Source organism: Homo sapiens, chromosome 7, assembly GCF_000001405.40.
Source record: "Homo sapiens chromosome 7, GRCh38.p14 Primary Assembly".
NCBI lineage: Eukaryota > Metazoa > Chordata > Mammalia > Primates > Hominidae > Homo > Homo sapiens.
The window spans coordinates 130,848,103-130,871,238 of NC_000007.14; the positions used below are offsets into that span (position 1 = coordinate 130,848,103).

Consider the following 23,136-nt stretch of genomic DNA (forward strand, 5'->3'; position numbering starts at 1 on the left):
GGAAGGATTTTCAGCCCTTGCCCCCCTCCCTCCCTCCCTCCTTTTGGAGTCCTCAGTGTCTATTGTTCCCATCTTTATGTCCATGTGTACCCAGGGTTTAGCTCCCATTTATAAGTGAGAATGTGCTATATTGTGTTTTTCTGTTTCTGTGTTAATTCGCTTAGCTACCTGTTTTTAATACTTAGACTGATGTAGTCCTCTTCTAGATGAGTTGTAAGATTATTGATTTGTTTTCTAATTAGAAAAAGTAATACTGTGGCTCATTGCAGAAATTTGAAAAATGTGTAAAAGTATGAAGAAATAAAATATCAGAGCAATTTCACTATATATTTGAAAAATCGCTTGATCCATTAGTATCTTTCTTTCTAATCTCTTTTTCTAGGCATATGTATACTTTTTCAGTAAAATTGGGATTACACTAAATATAGTGTAATATTCTGCTTTCACTATAATAAGCATTTCCCTGTTGATTATTTTTGTAAAGATGTAAATGGTTATATGATGCATTTATCCATATCCATGAAGGTATCCATTCATTTCACACATTTTTTTTTAGCACCTTCAATGTGCTCTGCCTTGTGGTAAGTCCTAGGAATGCACTGATAAAACAGACGGGGATCCTGCTTTCATAAAGCTTTCCCCACTTTCTGGATGTATGTATTTATTTAACCATGTCTTTATTTCTGCTCAGAGAGACTGACTTAGCCGAGAGGAAGGCATTTTTGTCCTTTCCCCCTTCCTGCTGCATGCCTGGAATGGGAAATGCTGGCTCGTACTTCTACAGCCATCTTGGAACACAAAGTAACACTGAGGATGGAAGCTAAATATTGAATATAGGACATATAGGAATCTGGTCCCTGTACAAACCATGGAGAGAGTTCATGGGCCCCAGATTATCCACACCAGGACTTCTCCTGTGAAACAAAAACTTCTAACTTGTTTAAATCACTGTTGATATGGGTATTTCTGTTAAATGCAGCAAACTCATTTCCTAATTGATACAATGCTGTTTGTACAGAAGCTTCAAATTTGTTTTTTTGTTTGTTTGTTTGTTTTTTTTTTTTTTTTTGAGACTAAGTCTCTCTCTGTTGCCCAGGTTGGAGTGCAGTGGCATGATCTTGGTTCACTGCAACCTCCACCTCCTGGGTTCAAGCAATTCTCCTGCCTCAGCCTCCCAAGTAGCTAGGATTAGAGCACCCACCACCACACCCAAATTTTTTATTTTTTATTTTTATTTTTGCTAAGTTTTGTATTTTTAGTAGAGACACGGTTTCACCATGTTGGCCAGGCTGGTCTCAAACTCCTGACCTCAAGTGATCCACCCACCTTGGCCTCCCAAAGTGCTGGGATTATAGGCATGAGCCACCGTGCCTGGCCAGAAGCTCCAGATTTCTGTGTCATCAAATATATAACATTTTATCAACCCTGAGACACATCTTTTCTTACAATGCAGTCTCTCTAGAATCAGTATCATTTAATATGTCATAGTTAAATAACTTTTTTTATTGAGGTAAAATTTATATAACATAAAATTCATCATTTTAGCCATTTAAAAGCATACAATTCATGACTTTTGGTACATTCACAATATTGTGTAACCACCATCACTACCTAATTCCAGAACAGGAAATTCTGTACCAGTTAAGTAGTCACTCCCCATCCCCTGTCCTCCCAGCCCCTGACAACCATTAATCTGCTTTTTGGCTGTCTCGATTTGCCTATTCTGGATATTTCATATAAACTAATGAATACAACATGTGATCTTTTGTTACTGGCTTCTTTCACTTGGAATAAGGTTTTCAAAGTCCACCCATGTTGTAGCATGAATCAGTCCTTCATTCCTTTAATGGCTGAATAATATTCTGTTGTACATTATTCAGCCCTAACGATGGTTGTATAATGCATTCGAATGTTACACCACATTTCATTGATTCATTCAATTCACGCACATTCAGATTGCTTCCACATTTTGGCTGTAAAGAATAATGCTGCTATTAATATTCATGTACAGACAGTCCCTGACTTATGATGGCTTAACTTATGATTTTTCAACTTTATAGTGGTGTAAAAATGATATGCATTCAGTAGAAACCATACTTCGAGTACCCATATGACCATTCTGCTTTTCACTTTCAGAACAATAGTCAATAAATTACATGAGATATTCAATACTTTACTATAAAATAGGCTTTGTCTTAGACCAGGGGTGTCTAATCTTCTGGCTTCCCTGGGCCACATTGGAAGAAGAAGAATTGTCTTGGGCCACATATAAAATACACTAACACTAATGATGGCTGATGAGCTAAAAAAAAAATCACAAAAAAGTCTCATAATGTTTTAACAAAATTTACAACTTTGTGTTGAGCTGCATTCAAAGCTGTTCCTGGGCTGCATGCAGCCCTCAGGCCATGGGTTGGACAAGCTTGTGTTAGATGATTTTGCCTAACAGTAGGCTAATATAAGTGTTCTGAGCATGTTTAAGTTATGTTAGGTTAAGCTATGATGTTTGGTAGGTTAGGTGTATTATGCATTTTCAACTTATGAGATTTTCAGCTTACAATGGGTTTATCATCAGGTTGTAACCTCATCATAAGTTGAGGAACATGTGTACAGAGTTTTTTTGACTATGCATATTTCTCTTAAGTTACACTAAGGGGTGAAATTTCTGGGTCATATGGTTGCTTTATGTCTAACTTTTTGAGGAACCGTCAGAGTATTTTCCAGAGTGGCTGTACTATTGTTCATTTCCAACAGTAATGTAGCAGCGTTCCAATATTTCCACATCCTCAACACTTGTTATATTTTCATTCTTCCCAACCTAGTAGTTGTGAACCACATTTTCTTTATCCATTCCCCAGCAGTTGAGGGACATTTGGGTTGTTCCCACCTTTTTACTATTATAAACAACACTACAAATAATACCATGAACAACTGTGTACAACACAGGTGTGTGTTCAAACAAACACTTTGTTTGAACATATGCTCTTCAATCTCTTGGGTATATGACTAAGAATGGAATGGGTGGGTCATATGGTAATTCTATGTTGATTTTTTGAGGAACCACAAAACTAGCTTTTACAGTGGCTGCATCATTTTACGTCTCTACCAGCAGTGGGATTCCTGCAGACTCTCATCAACAGGCAATGAAAAGTGATGAGCAAATTTTCTTTGACTCTCATTTCATTTTGCCTCTTTTATTTTGAAATTTAAATAATAGACAAAGAGGAGAGTAAGCATTTTATATTTACCACCCAGAAATGAACAACATTAGTGCATTGTTTTGGCTTCAAATATTTTTAAGTAAATAGAACATAACAGATTAAAAAACCTAAGCCCCCTTTTCCCCTTTACCACACCTATTACGTGGCCCCTCTCCAGAGATAATGATTATCACAAGTTGGTATCTGTCCTTCTAGACTATATCTTATTAGTATTACAAATATTACATGTCTCAACATGTTCTTTAAACTTTAGGTATGTGCTATCATACTGTTTTCATCCTGCAACTTGCCTTTTTTCTAAAAAGAGCTTTATTGAGGTATATAACTGGCACACAATAAACTGCACATATTTAATGCATACAGTTGGATGAGTTTGGACATATGCCTACATCCATGGAGCCATCACCACAGTCAAGTTAACAGACATAACTATAAGCTCCAAAAGTTTCCTTGTGTCCCTTTATTTTGGGATATGTGCATGTATGGTGAAAACATTTAACACAAACTCTCATCTTTAATAAATTTTAAAGTGTATAATACAGCACTGTTGACTGTGTATTAATACGATGCTATGTAGATCTCTTCAACTAATTCATCTTGCATCACTGAAACTTTCCTCTCCCCTGAAACATGTCTTTAACTGTTTTTTTGAAGTCTGTCCAGTGACGTGCTAGTAAATGTTTAACAACCAGCTTTTGTGGGGAGGGAATGATATGTAGCTTTTGCTAATTTCCATGTTGTAAATACTCTTAACATAGCTTATACCAAGCTATAGAAGTAACATCAGCCAGCTCACAAAACTGAAATGTTAGCATTTAGTTCTCATGAGCTAGCTTCAGCATGCTACTAAATCCGTCCCTGTTGATGTGGAGATCTGAGTTTTGCTTTTTAGTTTTTATATGTTAAGACTGTATCACAATGTTTTTATCCATCACCCTATTGATGGACGTCTAGACTATGTCTAGGGCTTCACTGCTACAAGATGGTGCTACAGTAAACATTCTTGTGCATAGCCCTTGTGCACATGTGCAAGGATTTCTGGAGCAGAAGGTATGTTTACTAGATGTGGAAACACTGTCCTCTGAAGTAGTTGCCCAGTCCACCCACTTCACAAGCAGTATGTGAGAGATCTTATTTCCCCACAACCTTGGCAATACTTGGTCTCATCAGACTTGGTTTTTGCCCATCTAAAGGTTATAATTCCATTGATTTTATACATAGTTGTCCCTCACTGTGAGATCCAGTAACTATTCATAATTACCTATACGCTTATAATTTCTTTTTTTCCCCCATTTAACTCCAGTATTTGTCTGTCTCTAGTTGATTGTAATGAATGCAAGAGGCTGTTGTGGAGTGTCAATGCCAGACCCCAAATAAGGGCAACACGGCTACTTAGCTTCTTTCTGAATTTAAAAGAAATGTATAGCTTTAATTTGGGAATTTAGAAACAGAAGCTAAGGTGTCTGTAAGCCTGTATTAGTTATTGTAGCCTTTACCTGCAAGCATCAAAGAACCATAGCAGCAGTGACTTAAACAATTGTGATGGGCATTTATTTCAAGCAATAAGAAGTCTGAAGCTAGTAAAGGAGGCAGTGGTGCCATCCTGGACCCAGGCTCCTGCCATTCTTCTCTGCCACCCTTAGCTGTAGGCTGTAATTCTCACGCTCCTCATCTCACGGTTGCAAGATGGCTGCCGCAGCTCTAGGCTTCACATCAGCGCTCAAGGCGGAAGGAGCAGTGCTTGAGTAGAAACACAAGAGCTTTCACATAAATACCTAGAAGCCTTTTGTCAGCATCACTAACCAGACCTGTGTCACAGGCCACTCAGTGTGTTAGGCAAGTATTTAATGGGATATATTTTCCGTCGTCCTCTGAACAAAATTGTATTCTGTTAGGATGGGAAAAGGGAAGAAGGGAATTATCTGCAACAAGAGTTATTTGGAATGTGGATTTTAGAGACATAATTTTTTCATAGTAGCATCAAATTGGGTGAATACTGGGAAATTATTCAGAGATATATACCATCCAGAACAAGAACCACCACCACAGAACACACAGTCGCCACATTCCATTGATTTATAGGCTGCTGTTTTGTTATTTTCCACTATCTATTAGGTATCTAAATTTCACTTCTCTTTGTTCCTTTTTGCCAATTCAAAAGAATTTAAAATGTTAGAATGAACAAATACTAATGAGGCGCATGTTACCTAAGGATGAGTTTTCAGGCATTCCTTGTGCCACAAATATGAAGAAAACGGAATCATTATAGGCTCTAGGGTGCGGTAGAGAAGCACATGGGACTAAAACAACTTGGATTTGTCATTTACTGTTTTGTTTGTAGGACAAGTCTCTTTTAGTGTCTCATATTATTGACATAACTCATGAATGCTTTTTTCCAGAGTTGATCACACTTAACAATATGTGCAGGCAGGACCGAAAAAAGGTGTGGTGCCTTCCAGCCCATAAATCAAAGGTGAGTCATGAGAATGCTGTCCATTAAACAGGAAGGAGGAGATTTGGATATGGAAGTAGGACATGCATTAGATTCCACAGCAATTAGGCTTTTCCATAAAAGAAGCATCTGCTTTTGGAACTTGAAAATAGAATAAAAGAGGAGCATTTAAAGGAGTTCTTGAAGAAGGCACACCAAGGTACTCGACTAATTGTAATTAGCTAATGAATACCTCCTGTAATAAAGCCTGAACTGTGGAAGGGAATCATTGATCGGCTTCCCAGGAACACCCTGTCACTGTACTGTACCTGCAGTGTATCAGCATTCGGACACAGACAGTGGGTGTGCAGATGTGTGTCTGTGTCATTTGGTTTTATTCATTTATTGCAGTTTCCATTTTATATATTATTCTAGTATAGGTCAGAGAAGCAAAGAGTCATCTACTCTCAGGGGCTTGTTTAACATTTTACATACCCAGTGGAAGGATTTCCCTTCTAACTTTGCTAGATTCTAAGCCTGAAATTAGAGGGAAAAAAAACTTGAACTATCTATTTAAATTCCATATCCAAGTCTGATCTATTCCACAGGAGTTCTTATCCTGAAGGAGCATGGCAGCAAATCAAGGAACAAAACTTAAAGCTGACTGTCCCTTTTTTTCCCACTGCTCTCTACCTTGTAGGGTGACAGAGAAACTTTGATGGGATGTTCAACTTCAGTAATTTTGACTCCTTTTATTTTTATTAGGAAATAATATTTTCCTTACAATATATAACAAGTATTTTCTCCATTGTGATTTTCCTTATGTCTGAGGACCCAGAGATCCTTGGAAGTCAGGCAGAGATGAGTTCAAATCCTGACTCTGCCACTTAGTAGTTGTGCAACCCTGACTGTATTACTCAGCCTCGGCAAATCTCCATATCTTAACCTGAAAAATGGGGATAATAATATATGTGTTTTGCAGAGTTTGTTGTGAAGATTGAGTGAGATTAGGTAAAGTGCTTAGCACCATGCCTGGAATTACTGAGTGCTTAAATGCAAACTGCAGATTAGTAGGATTTCATCTGTGACTTAACTTCATGTACTTCTTTAGGAAAGCATGTATTTTGTCACATGGGGCAAGTACTTGATTATTAACAAGAATGGTCTTCCTCAACTTCGTGGAAGCAGTGCACACCTCAACACTGTGCATTGCCTCCACGTTTGTGTACATGTACTTAGGAAAGGGAGCTAGACATTCTCACCTTCATTGAGTTGCTGTGAGGGTAAAATGAGAGTTTGCATTTCATACCTGACACACGGGGGACTCAGCAGATGTTAGCTCCCTTCCACTATGTCCCCCACTTTCTGAATCAGTCTGTACTTCCATAAATGTATCTTTTCTCTTAGAAGGGCCATCGAGAGGTGGAGGCAGAGAAATGATTCTGGGGCCAGGGGTCTTCCTCCAGGGCCCTTGTAGTCAGATTCTTTCCTTGTCTTGGACGATCACTCAGATATTTGGATTAACACAGCTAAGAGATACAGTGGCTCTCTCCATTTCACAGATTAGCAGGACCAGAAAGTCAATATGAAGAAAGCATTTACTGAGTGTCATCACCAAGATGGCAAAATAGAAGGCAACCTGCTCATATCCCCCAACTACAATATGGGTACAAGAATTTTTGTACCCATCTACAGTCAAAAGTCTGTCAGTGGGAGCCTCAGGATTCAGATAGGAGTTTGTGAAACCCTGAGAGGGCGCAAGACCTAGGAGGGTTGTTTTGAAAGTACAGACCAACACCCAGGTCAGTTGATCTGGTGAGCTTGCTTCCAGGTTCATGCCTGGAAATGGCCAAGAAAGTTTCTGCATGGATAGGATCATTCCCCAGCTACAGCAGGAGGGGCCAGAGCTGAGACTGGGACCCCTTGGGGTCTGCCGTTGGCTACAGCCCTGTTTGGCCTTGAGCTTGCAACCGAAACTATCTGCCAAGGAGTCTAGAAGGAATTGCGCATACTAGAGCCTTGGCAGAAAGACTCGTCTGTCCACTGACATCAGTCTCAGCAGTGAACCTGGAAGTGGCCCTGTGGCTCTGCTCCAGCCTTTCTCAGCTGATGTCTCAGTTCAGAGGTGCTCATACAAGGACCCAGAAGGAGACTTGCCCATATCTCACAACCCAGAAGTCTGAATGTCCCCAACACACTTGCCAACCTCTGTCTCATAGCAGATCCCAAGTGGACTCAGTCTCAGCTGCACCCTGCCCTCTGCAGCAACCAGGGAACTATCCTATTTGTGCTGAGACCTGCTGGGAGATGTGTACTTGTCTGGCCCAACAAGACAGACTCTTTAGCTTCCATCCCACAACAGATCCCAAGGACACCCAGACTCAGCTCCAGCCCCTCCTGCTGTAGACAAGAAACTAGCTTATTTGTGCAGAAACTTGCTGGGTGATATAAACCCCTCTGAGCTGAGACTGGGCTCTCCAGTCTCTCATAGCACATTCCATGGGGCCCAGTCTCAGCTCTAGCCCCTACTGCTTCAGTCTAGGAACTACCCCACTCATACAGGGACCAGCTGGGTGATGCATGTTCATCTGAGACAATGAGATAGGCCCACCAGCTCCTTCTCACAGCTGATCCTGAAGTGGTCCAGTCTCAACTCCATCTCCTCTTGCTGCAGTTGAGAAATGCAGAGATCTGCTGGGAGACACACTTGTCTGGGCCACAAGGACAGTTTTCTGGACTCAGGTCCCTCAGTCCAGTATCTGCCTGGGGTCTTCTCTAGGTCCATCTGGGCTGGAAAGCCATGTCAACCTCAGAGTCCTCATGAAACTCACGGCAAGCCTGGGCTTGGAGTGTCCTCTAGTGCTGAGATATCTGGCTGCAGTGGTCACAGGCTCAGGGAACACAACAGTCAGTCAGCTTAGAATCCGAAAGGCCCTCTGAAGGACAGGCACAAACAAAGCCAGAATGCAAAGACTAAAATAAATACCTAATTCCTAAATATGTAGACATTGTTGTACTTCTACAGGCATCAAAAACATTCAGGGAAATATGACCTCACAAATGAGGTAAAACAAGGTGCCAGCGACCAACCCTACAGTGATAGAGATGTGTGATCTCTCATACAAATAATTCAAAATAGCTGCTTTAAGGAGACTCAATGAAATTCCAGAAAACAGAAAATCAATTCAGAAATGTATCAGAAAAATTTAATAGAGACATTGAAAAAATTTTAAAAATCAAAAAATCCTGGAGCTGAAAAATACAATGAATGAAATGAAAAATGCAATATAGAGCATCAATGGCAGAAGTAATCAGTGACAGATTATTTGGATATACACAGAGGAAAAAAAAAGGAATAAAAATAATGAAAAAAGCTTACAATATGTATGAGACAACATCAAAAAAGAAAATATTCATTATTGGAGTTAAAGAGGGAACTGAGAAAGACAAAGGGGTAGAAAGCTTCTTCAGAGAAATAATAGAAAGCTTTCCAACCCTGGAGAAAGATACAAATACCAAAGCCAGGAAGATCAAAGATCACCAATCAGATTCAACCCAAATAAGAATATCCCAAGACATATTACATCGAACTTGCAAAAATGAAAGACAAAGAGAGGATTCTAAAAGCAGCAAGAGAAAAGAGGCAAATAACATATAAGGGAGATCCAATACTCCTGGCATCAGACTTCTCAGCAGAAACTTTTCAGGCCAGGAGGGAGATGATAATATTCAGAGTGTTGTAGGAAAAAAATGGCCAACCAAGAATACTGTATCAAAAAAAGTTCTTCAGAAATGGAGAGATAAAGACTATCCCAGACGGACTTTATATTTATAGCAACCAGAACTGTCCCACAAAAAATGCTAAAGGAAATTCTTCAAACTGAAAGAAAAGGACTCTAACGTAATTATTATAGTAATATTGTAATTGTGATAAACCACTTATATCTTTGGCCAAAAGACTGAAAGTCAAAACTATTAAAATAATTTTGAAAATAATTTGTTAAGAGACAGGCAATAAAAAAGGGTAATTGGTGACATCAAAAACTGTAAATGTGGAGGAAGAAGGGAGTTAACCTGTTTGGGTTGTTTCTTTGCTTTTTTATGATCAAAATTAAGTTGGCATCAGTTTTAAATACCTGTTATAACTGTAGGATTTGTTTTGTAAGCTTAACGGTAACTACAAAGCTAAAACCTATAACAGATAGACTAAAAATAAAAAGTAACAAAACATACTACCAGAGAAAAATCACTTAACCACAAAGAAAGACAAAGAAAGGAAGAGAGGAGTTACCTACAGCTAGTAAACAAGTAACAGTATGGCAGTAAGGCCTTATCTATCAATAGTAACATTGAATGTAAATGGACTGAATTCTCCAATTAAAAAAACAAAGAGTAGCTGCATGGATTAAAAAACAAGACCCAACAATATGCTGTCTACAAGAAACTCAATTCACCTGTAAAGATACACATAGACTGAAAGTGAAGGGATAGAAAGATGATATCCCATGCAATGGAAACCAAAAAAGAGCAGGAGTAACTATATGAGCTAAAATAGACTTTAAATTAAAAACTGTAAAAAGAGATAAATAGGGTTATTATATAATGATTAAGAGGTCAATTCAGCTAGAGGATATAACAATAGTAAATATATACACACCCAACACCAGAGTACCCAAATATACAAAGCAAATATTAATAGATCTGAAGGGAGAGATAGACTGCAATGCAGCAGTAAGAGGGGATTTCAGCATCCTACTTTTGACAATGGAAAGATCATTCAGGCAGAAAATCAACAAAGAAACATCAGAGTGAAACTGTACACCAAATGGACCTAACAGACATTTACAGAATATTTCACCCAACTGCTACAGAATACGCATTCTTCATCAGCACATGGAACATTCTCCAGGACAGACTATATGTTGGACCATGAAACAAGTCTCAACAAATACAAAAAAGTGGAAATTATATCAAGTATCTTTTCTGACCACAATAGAGTAAAACTATAAGTCAATAAAATGAGGAATGTTAAAAACTGTACAAATACATGGAAATTAAACAACATGTTTCCAGACAACCGGTTGGTCAGTGAAGAAATTAAGAAGGAAATTTAGAAATTTCTTGAAAAAAATAAAAATGGAAACAAAACATACAAGAATCTATAGGATACAGAAAAAGTAGTACTAACATGGAATTTTATAGCAGTAAATATCCACATTTTTAAAAAATAGAGACTCCAAATAAACAATCTAACTATGCACATCAAGCAACTAGAAGAGAACAAACCAAACCCAAAATTAGTAAAAGGAAAGAAATAATAAAGATCAGAGCAGAAATAAATGAAATGAGACTAAAAAAATAAAAAAGATCAACAAAACAAAAAGTTGGTTTCTTGAAAAGACAAAATTGGTAAACCTTTAGCTAGACTAAGATAAAAATAAAGAAGACCCAAACAAATAAAATCAGAGACAAAAAAGGAAACATTACAACTAATACCACAGAAATAGAATCATTAGACTATCATGAACAACTATACACAAACAAACTGAAATATCTAGAAGAAATGGATAAACTCCTGAACACATACTCTACCATGATTGAACCATGAAGAAACAGAAAACCTAAACAAACCAATAACAAGTCATGAGATCAAGCTACAATAAAAAGTCTCCCTTCAAAACTTGGGACCTGCCAGGTTCACTTCTGAATTCTAGCAAACACTTAAGGAAGACCTAATACCAATTCTACTCAAATTATTTCAAATAAGTGAAGAGGAGAGAAACTCATTTTACCAGGCCAGCATTATCCTGATACCAAAACCAGACAAACACACTACCAAAAACAAAAAATAAAAGAAAAAATCAACTGTGGGCCAATATCACTGATGAACATAGATGTAAAAATCCTCCACAAAATACTAGCAAACAGAATTCAAAAACATTAAAAAGATCTTTCACTAGAATCAAGTGGATTCATCCCAGGGATGCAAGGATGGTTCAACATAGGCAAATCAACAAACATGATACATCACATCAACAGAATGAAGGACAAAAAACATGTGATTATTTCAATGGATGTTGAAAAAACATTCAGTTAAATTCAATGTCCTTCATGAAAAAAATCCTCAACAAACTGGGTATAGAATGAACATACCTCAGGCCAGGCATGGTGGCTCAGGCCTGTAATCCCAACACCTTGGGAGGGTGAGGCAGGTGGATCACTTAAAGTCAGGAGTTCGAGACCACCTTGGCCAGTGTGGTGAAATTGTGATATGGTTTGGCTGTGTAACCCACCTAAATCTCAACTTGAATTGTATCTCCCAGAATTCCCACATGTTGTGAGAGGGACCCAGTGAGAGGTAACTGAGTCATGGGAGTGGCCTTTCCTGTGCTGTTCTCATGATAGTAAATAAGTCTCATGAGATCTGATGGGTTTATCAGGGGTTTCTGCTTTTGCTTCTTTTTTTTCTCTTGCCACCACACTGTAAGAAGTGCCTTTCACCTCCCACCATGATTCTGAGGCCTCCCCAGCCATGTGGAACTGTAAGTCCAATTAAACCTCTGTTTGTTACCAGTTTTGGGTATGTCTTTATCAGCAGCATGAAAACGAACTAATACAGTAAATTGGTACCAGTAGAGTGGGGTGTTGCTGAAAAGATACCTGAAAATGTGGAAGCAACTTTGGAACTGGGTAACAAGCAGAGGTTAGAACAGTTTGGAGAACTCAGAAGAAGACAGGAAAATGTGGAAAAGTTTGGAGCCTCCTAGAAGCTTTGACAAAAATGCTGATAGTGATATGAACAATAAGGTCCAAGCTGAGGTGGTCTCAGATGGAGATGAGGAACTTGTTGGGAACTGGAGCAAAGGTGACTCTTGTTATGTTTTAGCAAAGAGACTGGTGGCATTTTGCCCCTGTCCTAGAGATTTGTGGAAATTTTGAACTTGAGAGAGATGATTTAGGTTATCTGGTGGAAGAAATTTCTAAGCAGCAAAGCATTCAAAAAGGTGACTTGGGTGCTGTTAAAAAGCATTCCATCTTAAAAGGGAAACAGAGCACAAAAGTTCAGAAAATTTGCAGCCTGATGATGCAGTAGAAAAGAAAAAACAATTTTTTTGAGGAGAAATTCAAGCTGGCTGCAGAAATTTGCATAAATAGCAAGGAGCCTAATATGAATCCCCAAGACCATGGGGAAAATGTCTCTCTAGGCCATGTCAGAGACCTTCACAGCAGTCCCTCCCATCACAGGCCTGGAGGCCCAGGAGGAAAAAGTGGTTTTATGGGCCGGGCCCAGGGGAGTACCCATGCTGGTGCCCTGTGTCCCAGCTGCTCCAGCCATGGCTGAAAGGGGCCAACACAGAGCATAGGCTGTGGCTTCAGAGGGTTGAAGCCCCAAGCCTTGGCAGCTTCTATGTGGTGTTGAGCCTGTGGGTACACAGAAGAATTGAGGTTTGGGAACCTCGGCCTAGATTTCAGAAGATGAATGGAAATGGCTGGATGCCCAGGAAAAAGTTTGCTGTAGCGGTGGGGTCCTCATGGAGAACCTCTGCTAGGATGTTGTGGAAGGGAAATGTGGGGTCAGAGCCCCCACATAGAATCCCTACTAGGGCACTGCCTAATGGAGCTATGAGAAGAGGGCCACTGTACTCCAGACCTCAGAATGGTAGATCGACCAACAGCTTGCACCATGCACCTGGAAAAGCTGCAGACACTCAATGTCAGCCCATGAAAGCAGCCAGGAGGGAGGTTGTACCCTGCAAATCCACAGGGGTGGAGCTGCCCAAGACCATGGAAACCCACCTCTTGCATCAGCGTGACCTGGATATGAGACCTGGAGTTAAAGGAGATCATTTTGAAGCTTTAGAATTTGACTGCCCCACTGCATTTTGGACTTGCATGGGCCCTGTAATCCTTTGTTTTGGCCAATTTCTCCCAATTGGAATGGCTGTATTTACCCAATACCTGTACCCACATTGTATCTAGGAAGTAACTAGCTTGTTTTTGATTTTACAGGCTCACAGTCAGGAGGGACTAGCCTTGTTTTAGATGAGACTTTGGACTGTGGACTTTTGGGTTAATGCTGAAATGAGTTAAGACTTTGGGGGACTGTTGGGAAGGCATGATTGGTTTTGAAACGTGAGGACATGAGATTTGGAGGAGCCAGAGGCAGAATGATGTGGTTTGGCTGTGTCCCCACCCAAATCTCAACTTGAATTGTATCTCCCAGAATTCTCATATGTTGTGGGAGGGACCCAGTGGGAGGTAACTGAATCATGGGGGCTGGTCTTTCCCATGCTATTCTTGTGATAGTGAATAAGTCTCATGAGATCTGATGGGTTTATCAGGGGTTTCTATTTTTGCTTCTTCCTCAGTTTTCTCTTGTCACTGCCGTGTAAGAAGTGCCTTTTGCCTCCTGCCATGATTCTGAGGCTTCCCCAGCCATGTGGAACTGTAAGTCCAATTAAATCTCTTTTTGTTCCCAATTTTGGGTATCTTTATCAGCAGCATGAAAACGAACTAATACAGTAAAAGAGAACCCTAATACAACTCGTCTCTGCTAAAACAATACAAAAAAAGAGCAAGGGATGGTGGTACACATCTGTAGTCCCAGATACTTGGGAGGCTGAGGCAGGAGAATTGCTTGAACCTGGGAGGTGGAGGTTGCAGTGACCTGAGATCACACCACTGCACTTCCAGCCTGGGCAGCAGAGCAAGACTCCATCTCAAAAAAAAAAAAAAAAAAAAAAGAAAGAAAGAACATACCTCAGTGTGATAAGGGCCACATGTGAGAATCCTACAGCTAATATTAAATGGGAAAAAATGGAAAGCCTTTGCATTAAGAACTAGAATAAGACAAGGATGCCCACTTTCACCACTTTTATTCAACATAGTACTAGCCAAAGCAATTAGTCAAGAGAAAGAAATAAAGGGCATGCAAATTGGAAAGGAAGAAGTTGACTTATCCTTGTTTGCAAACAACGCGATCTTATATTTAGAAAAACCTAAAGAGTCCACCAAAAAAACCTATTAGAAGTGACAGATTCAGCAAAGTTACAGGATATAAGATCAACATACAAAAATCAGTAAAATTTCTATATGCCAGCAGCCAACAATCTGAAAAAGAAACCAACAAAGCAATCTTACAACATCTACAAATAAAATGCCTAGGAATAAATTTAGGAGGTGGAAGACTTCTACAAGGAAAACTACAAAACATTGATTAAAGAAATTGAAGAGGATAAAAAGGGCAAGACATCCCATGCTCACTTTTCAGAAGAATTAATATTGTTAAAATGACAATACTACCCAAAGCAATCTACAGATTTGATGCAATTCCTATAAAAATACCAATGACAGTTCTTCACAGAAATAGAAAAAAAAAATCCTAAAATTTATATGAAAACACGAAAGACCCCAAATAGCCAAAGCAATCCTGAACAAAATGAACAAAGCTGGAAGCATCACATTATCTGACTTCAAATTATACTACAGGCCAGATGCAGTGGCTCATGCTTCTAGTCCCAGCACTTTGGGAGGCTGAGGTGGGTAGATTGTTTGAAGCCAGGAGTTCGAGACCAGTCTGGTCAACATGGCGAAACCCCGTCTCTACTGAAAATACAAAAATTAGCTGGGCATGGTCGCGGGTACCTGTAATCCCAGCTACTTGGGAGGCTGAGGCAGGAGAATCACTTGAACCTGGGAGGCGGAGGTTTCAGTGAGTCGAGATTGCATCACTGCACTCCAGCCTGGGCAGCAGAGAGAGACCCTGTCTCAGAAAACAAACAAATTAAACTACAGAGGTATAGTAGCCAAAAAAGCATAGTACTGGTATAAAAACAGACACATAGACCAATGGAACAGAATGAAGAACTCAGAAATAAGTCTTTGTACTTAGAGCCAACTCATTTTCAACAAAGGCACTAAGAACACATACTGGGGGGGAAAAGAGTCTCCTTAATAAATGGTGCTGGGAAAACTGTATATCTGTTTGCAGAAAAATAAAACCGGATCCCCATCTTTCATCATATACAAGTATCAACTCAAAATGAATTCAAGACTTAAATGTAAGACCTAAAACTATGAATCTGCTAGAACAAAACACTGAAGAAATGCTACAGGACATTGGTTTGGGCAAAGATTTTTTAGGGTAGGACCGCAAAAGAATAGGAAGTCAAAGCAAAAAATAGAAAAATGGGATTACATCAAGCTAAGAAGCTTCTAGACAGCAAAGGAAGGAACAAAGTGTAGAGACAGCCTTCAGAATGGAAGAACATATCTGCAAACTATCCATCTAACAATGAATTAATACATAGAATATGTAAGAAATGTAAACAATTCAATAGCAAAATAACAATCTGATTTTTTTTTAATGGGCAAAAGAGCTGGGTAAAAATTTCTCAAGACATACAAATGGCCACAGGTAGATTACAAAATGCTCAACATCACTAATCATCAGGGAAATGCAAATCAAAACCACAATGAGTTATCAACTCACTTCAGTTAGAAATCTATTATCAAAAAGAGAAAAAAATAACAAATGCTGGCAAGGATGCAGAGAAAGAGGAACCCTGGTATAGTGTTGGTGGGAATGTAAGTACAATAGCCACTATGAAAACAGTATGGAGGCTTCTCAATAAACTAAAAATAAAACTACCATATGATCCAGGAATCTCACTGCTGGGTGTATATCCAAAAGAAGTCAATATATCGAAGAGGTATCTGCACTCCAATGTTTACTGTAGAACTATTCACAATAGCCAAGATTATGGAATCAACCTGTGTCCATCAACAGATGAATGGATAAAGAAAATGTGGTATATATTCACAGTGAAATATTTTTTCACCACAAACATAATGAAATCCTGTCATTTGTAGCAACATGGATGGAACTACATGTTATTGAGCACCAATGTCACATATTTTCATTTATGTGTGTGAGTTTAAAAAGTGGATCTCATGGAAGTGGCCAGTAGTGGAGAGTAGAATGGTGTTTATCAGAGGAGAGGTACGGAGTGGGGGCAGGGGGAATGAAGAGAAGTTGGTTAATGGGTACAGAAATAAAATTAGAAGGAAGAAGTTCTAGTATTCAACAGTACAGTAAGAAAATCATAGTTAACAATAATTTATTGTATGTTTCAAAATAGCTAGAAGAACTGTAATGTTCCCAACACAAAAAGGTAAGTATTTAAGATGACACATATCCCAATTAACCTGATTTGATCATTACACATTGTATACATATATCAAAATATCACACATACCCCAAAAATATGTACAACTATGATACATAAATTAAAAATACAAAAAAAAAAAGGAGGGGGCAGGCATGGTGGCTTATGCCTGTAATCCCAGCACTTTGGGAGGCCAAGGCAGGGTGATTGCTTGAGCCCAGGAGTTGAGACCAGCCTGGGCAACATAGTAAGACTCCATCTCTACAAAAGTTTTAAAAAATAATTATCCAGGTGTGGTGGTGCACACCTGTAGTCCTGACTACTTGGGAGACTGAGGTGGGAGGATCATCTGAGGCTGGGAGGTCAAGGCTGCAGTGAGTCGTGGTTGCACCGCTGTACTCCAATCTGGGTGCCAGAGCAAGACTCTGTCTCTAAAAAAAAATCACCAAAAAAGAAGACATAACTTACTGCCAAAGTGAGAAAGACAATGGGATAAATTCAGATTGAGACCTATGGTTCCTAGTTCAGGCAACACTTGAAGACAGAAGGGGCCTGTCATAACATGGAGTTGGGAGTTGGTTTTTTTCCTCTGGCTAACCTAAGCATTGGCTTAGAGGTTATCAGAGTGGGGGAAGACAGAGAATACTTCTCTGAAAGACTCCCTTTGTTTTCCTCCTACAGAGAGGGTTTCCTTCAGGTTCACATTTGTTATGTCATTGGCTCTGACCATGGTGCTGAATCCTCTGAACTTGAAAATTGAACTCCTACAAAGGTAGTAGATTCAAACTCTTAGTTGTGAGATGTGCTAGAAGTGATATGGGGAAGTGCAGCACCCCCACCCCCCTTCTGTACTTCTACCAACCTTATCTGCTCCCTTGAGCTCCTTTTGAGGTATAAAATATAGCGGAAATTTCTGGCTAAAATTTATAGATTCGGATGCTCCCATTTCCTGAACGCCATCTACATAGGAGTAGTTCTTTGAATTGTCAGAAAACAACCTGGCCCCAAAGTAAACTCAAGGCAGGCCAAGCACAATATTTTTGCCATTTATGGCGAATGATAAGAGGTATGTCACAGTTCCTAAGACAACCACAAGGGCTTCTGCTCAGTGTGGGTTTTGCTGACTTCACTGGAGTCAGCAGCAGTGGGCTGCTTCATTGCTGACATTCAGCAAATGTGGGTTTATATAAAGCTCTGTCATAGGCTGATCCTCCATAATCCCACAGAATCTGCAGGGAATAGTACTTTCCATGCTAATGTGATTGAACACAGAGAGTACCTATATTATGCTAGGCATATGCTAGGAATATGGACCCTGAATCAAGAAGTTTACAGTCTATTTGGTGAGAAAAACGTGCATGTGGGTGATGCAAAGTAGAATGTACTATGTGTGTTACCAGAGATCCCATGTGTTAGACCAATAGTGACAGGACAGTGGTCTGTTCTGATCTGGAACCTGACCAGAGGCAGTCCTTAGAGTACTGAGCTCTGAGCTCGACCTTCCCCTCACCTTTCATTTCAAGTTAGGGGTGGACATATCTGAGTTGGTGGAGTCTGGTCAGCTACAAACCTGTTTTTAGAGATGAATTCTGTGCTATGAGACTCTGGTCACGAATCATGGAACTTCTGCTTTCTGAGAGCTTGTGTGGATTGTTTATTCTTCCAAGGACTGTTAACCAGTGAGAAGATAGTTAAGACAGGCTGGGGCAGACAGTGTTTAATCTGCTTCAGAGACACAAACTGCAGCTCCATCCCACCAGCATCTGCCAACACAAGGCAGAGAGATTAGTGTGTGGACGTGGCACAAACAAAGAAAGGGATGCACAGGGATTGGTTTAGGAGGGAGAAGCCACAGGATGAGCCTTTCCTCTAGGGGACCTGGGAGAGGGTCGAGCAACAGGAGTGGAGGGTCTTGCCTCTCATTCAACATCAAGAGTCCTGCATACCTCCTGGGATCCCTTTCTCAGAACTTAAGGACTTAAGAGAGAAGGTGTGGTATGTTGAGCCAGACATTAACTTTGTCTAGGAGAACAGCATGGGTTTTTAGCAGCATGGAAGGGTGGCACTTGCGATCAGTTTAGCTGCTTAAGCCAGTATCCTGAGCTGAGAAAGGCCTGAGGAGCAGAGTTCTGGGCACAGTACAGGAAAACCCCTCTCAGTGCCTAGAGAGTACCTGGAGCAGGGTAGGTGCTAAATAAATTTTTACTGAACTGAATTCTTGCTGAGCTACTAAAGGAGAGGTGAACAGCTGCTTCTAAGGGCTGATACTATGCTCCAGAAAGCAGAGGAATGTGTCACATGTCTGGTCTTTTGGACTCACAGCAGACCTCACATTCTATAGCACTGAGGGGCTCCTGCTGCTGGGACAGAGACATGAGCTCAGGATCAGCTCTCCCAGGGACCCAGAACGCAGCCCATCTTCACCAGCCATAGCACCTTCAGATAAAAAAGGCCAACACATATGTCCACAAGTCCTCTTTTTCTCTGTCACTTTCACTTCCCAGACATTTCGAGGTACTGCTATTGACCTTCGCTTCTATATTGGGAAAATGGGGCTAGTGGGTTTTTTTTTTCCATGCCCATCAGGACCCTTCCAAGGCCATTTCAAAGTAATTCGCAGGTAAGGTACCCACAAGAATCTCTTATCTGTTGCCTCTTTTCCTTTGGAACTCAGTTCATAATTTACATTTGTGCCAGCCTCTTTCCCATCCAAGTTTCTAATTTTTTGTTTTTTGACATAGAAAGCTGGTAAGTGAGCTGGATTAGAACAGGAGTCCATGTACAATCCACACTTTGTGCCTTTGTCCTTGTTCTCTTGCCTGCCTTTGACCTTCCTCTCTGGCCTGTTCAGTCACAGGAAGGAAGAGAGAGGCAGCTATCTGCAAGAGCAAAAATGCCTCTTACAAAAGCATACCCAACGGCTGTCCTTTTTTCCAAGACCAGTTCTGACAGCTAAGAAGGCTGACACCCAGCTGGCATCCTCTGGTACCTTTGTCCTGTCACCTCCTGCCACACCAAGCCTCTGGCACAGTATTGGTTACCAACTTCTGTCAGGCCTGCACCATCTTCTGCCCAACCCACAGTGGGTGGCATCCAGCATGTTCAGGGTTGATACAGATTGGTTCAGGGCCATAATTTTGTGGACTTTTTTTTTCATGAATGCAGAATTTATAGGTGATAGAAGCACCACTATGTTTCTATCCTCCTCCTCTTTGACTTCCTCCTGTGACTTTTGGTGAACAAGGTCCTCATCCACCTACAGACCCCTTTCATCTCCAGGAGGAAGGGCTGTGTGCCTCCTGCCCTTCGTCTCCACTCTGGCTGTAGAAAGTGCTAATCCTGAGACAGCAAGTCTGCACAGTTTGGCCCAAAGCTTCCTGGCCGCACCCACATACCAGGGCAGTGCCAGCTTGCTCCCTTCTAAGGCAGCATCTATTGTTTCCGTACAGTGGGCAGGGTTGGCCATTCGGTGCAAGGCCACCTGAGTGGAAAACGCCTCTTCAAAACAGGGTGGCTTCAAAACAGTTGACTACACTTTGTTCTTTGGCCCCTGAAGAGGAGAGAGAGAGTAAATGAGAGGTGTGGAGCTTCGCTAGAAGCAGACTATGGGAATTTAAAATCGATGCCAAAAATCCTTCCGTCAGCTTATTAACAAAACACAATTTCTATGGGGTTCCAAGCTCCATTCTTGGAAAAAAATCAAAGCCCACTGCAATGGGTGGCCATTATACCCAGAAGGAATGGAGGAGAGGAAACACTAGAGCTTCTTCCCATCCTCACTGACCAAGGAAAGCTGTTCTTCCTTCTGATGCCTCTGTTTTAACAGCTGTAGAATGGAGGTAAATACTAAAAATACAAAAAACTAGCTGGGCATGGTGGTGCACACCTGTAGTCCCACCCACTTGGGAGGCTGTGGTGAGAGGATCACCTGAGCCTGGGAAGTCGAGGCTGGAGTGAGCTGTGATCACACCACTGCACTCCAGCCTGGGCGATGGGAGTGAGGTGAGACCCTGTCAAAAAAAAAAAAAAAAAAGAAAAAGAAAAAAAAAAAGGTATATTAAATGAAAAAGACCTCTATTATGGCACAAACTCAGGAAATTTAAAGGACACAAAGGATAAACAGAATCTCCTCAAAACTTCCAGAGCAAAAGGGCCAGAAATCAGCATTGTATCAGACCTCTTCACAGCACTGGGGGCTAGAAAACCAAAATCTGAGCCAGTCAGGAATTCCATAACCAGTGAAATGATCAATAAAATATGGGCAAAATGAAAAACCTAAAAAAAAATGACCTTTGTCAGGAAACTGCTGAAGGATGTGTGCGTGTGCGCGCGCGCACACACACACACACTGACTGTGTGTGCGCACACACACTGACTGTGTGTGCGCACACACACACTGACTGTGTGTGGGGTCTGAAAATGCTGAGGGGAATGTTACAGTTCTGTAAGGTTTAGGAATTAAGTATATCATGAATTAAATTTAAAATGATGAAATTATTCATCTCAGAGTTTATAAGAAGTTTTAAAAGGAAATCTAAAACTATGTAGTTATGATATCAACAGTATCTATATAATTATCAATACCATTCTTGAGTTAACCGAAAACTGTGTTCTAACTAAATTGTGAAGGCGAATGGAGTAATATGTGTACAGGTGGCAGTGGAGTTAAAGCTAAATTCTCATTTCCCATAGTAGAAAAATTAAAAAAATTAAAAAAATAAAGTCAAAATGAAGACATAGAGGTATGAGCATTTTAAAATGGAAGTAACAGTCTATAGAATCTCTTATCAGAAGAAACAGATAAATGATTTGAAAGCAGCTGCCTGCGAGAGAAAACAGTAGGACAGAGAACAGCTGTTTGTTTGCTCTGGGACTCAGTGCCCTCTTACTTGTTTATGGATATATATTACACTGACAGAAATAAAAGTTTAAATTTAAAGAACGAGACAGCTCAAATGCCAGTACGAACCTGTGAGTGGATAAACAAAATGTTGTCTATCCAAATAATGGAATATTATTCAGTCATAAAAAGGAATGAAGTACTGATACACACTACAACGTGGATGAATCTTGAAAACATCATGCTAAGTGAAAGAAGCCAGTCAGAAAAGGCTGCGTACCTTTTATCATGCATCATCCCTGTTGTATGTATGTATCATGTATCATACCTATTGTATGATTCCGTTTACATGAAATGTCCAGACTATGTAAGTCTGTAGAAAGCAGATTTTGCCAGGAGCTGGGAGGAGGAATGAATGAAGAATGTCTACTTAATGGGTACAGGTTTCTTCTTGGGGTGATTAAAATGTTGTGGAGTTAGAGAGTGGTGATGGTCACACAACACTGTGAACATACTAAGGCCACTGAATTGTATGCTTTAAAATGGTTAAAATGGTAAAAACGGTAAGTTTTATGTTATGTGAATTTTTAACCTCAATAATAAAGGAAGGAACACTGTATAGTGGATTTTGTATGGCTAGTACACAGATTCTATTGTAGTTTCAGTTAAGTAAGAGTTGTTTACAAAGTCTCTGCGCTATACATTCTGCTTTAGTTAACACGAAAGAGTGAATAAATGTATGCCTTTGATGATTTATTATTTCCATAGTATCTGAGGAGCCGTCATCATTCTGAATAGCCAAGATTTTAGGCACAACAGACAGAAATGAATTATAAACTAACCTCAAAATAGAATATCTTATCATTTATAATACAGAAATTATTCATGCTGCAGTTCTTTAGTAAACAGCTTGCTTTCTTGTCGTCTGACACTTTCAAAAATGGAGAAGAAGAGAAAACTTGAATTCAGAGTTCTGGGTAGTAATGTCTTGTGAATGAGCTTACACTATGTTTCGCTTCACTTTTTTCCAATTAGATTTCAGTTCTCTCTCCTTTGGCACCCCCTCATTCTGCAACATATTTTATTGCCTATTTTTTTTATTAGTCAACTATTGAAACAGGTGAATTGGCTACAAAGAAGAGCTTAGTCACTCAGAGTCAACTAAGCAGCAAACACTGGCCACCAAGACTTGGACTCTTGTGAATCAGCTTCAGATTTGTTCTTGTTGTTGTTGTTGTTGTTGTTTAAATATTTGTTTGGGTTTTTTTGTTAGGTCACCAAGAAGAGTTTTAAAACCCTGTCTCACTAAAGGGCTTTTTAAGATCTATACAAAGCTAATTTTTTCTCATAAGTATGTGTTAGTTTCTCATAATGATTTTTCTCATTTCTATATCATATTAAAAAAATTCAGGCCGGGCGCAATGGCTCACGCCTGTAATCCCAGCACTTTGGGAGGCTGAGGCGGGCAGATCATGA

General features: G+C 40.0%; 1 long non-coding RNA gene across 1 annotated transcript in view, besides 1 other annotated feature; it reads left to right on the forward strand.

Moving 5' to 3' along the window:
• Positions 1–5,849, forward strand: part of LOC105375508 (uncharacterized) — a 119,688-nt gene extending 113,839 nt beyond the window's left edge. The window contains exon 4 of the long non-coding RNA XR_927978.3: positions 5,621–5,849. This is a non-coding gene — a long non-coding RNA (uncharacterized LOC105375508). The remainder of the gene's footprint in view (positions 1–5,620) is intronic.
• Positions 4,919–6,118: an enhancer, noted in NCBI's record as "MED14-independent group 3 enhancer chr7:130537780-130538979 (GRCh37/hg19 assembly coordinates)". NCBI's record gives its function as "activates an origin of replication core promoter dependent on BRD2, BRD4, P300/CBP and CDK7 cofactors, and independent of MED14, by STARR-seq in HCT116 cells {active_cell/tissue: HCT116}" and the evidence as "EXISTENCE:reporter gene assay evidence [ECO:0000049][PMID:35650434]".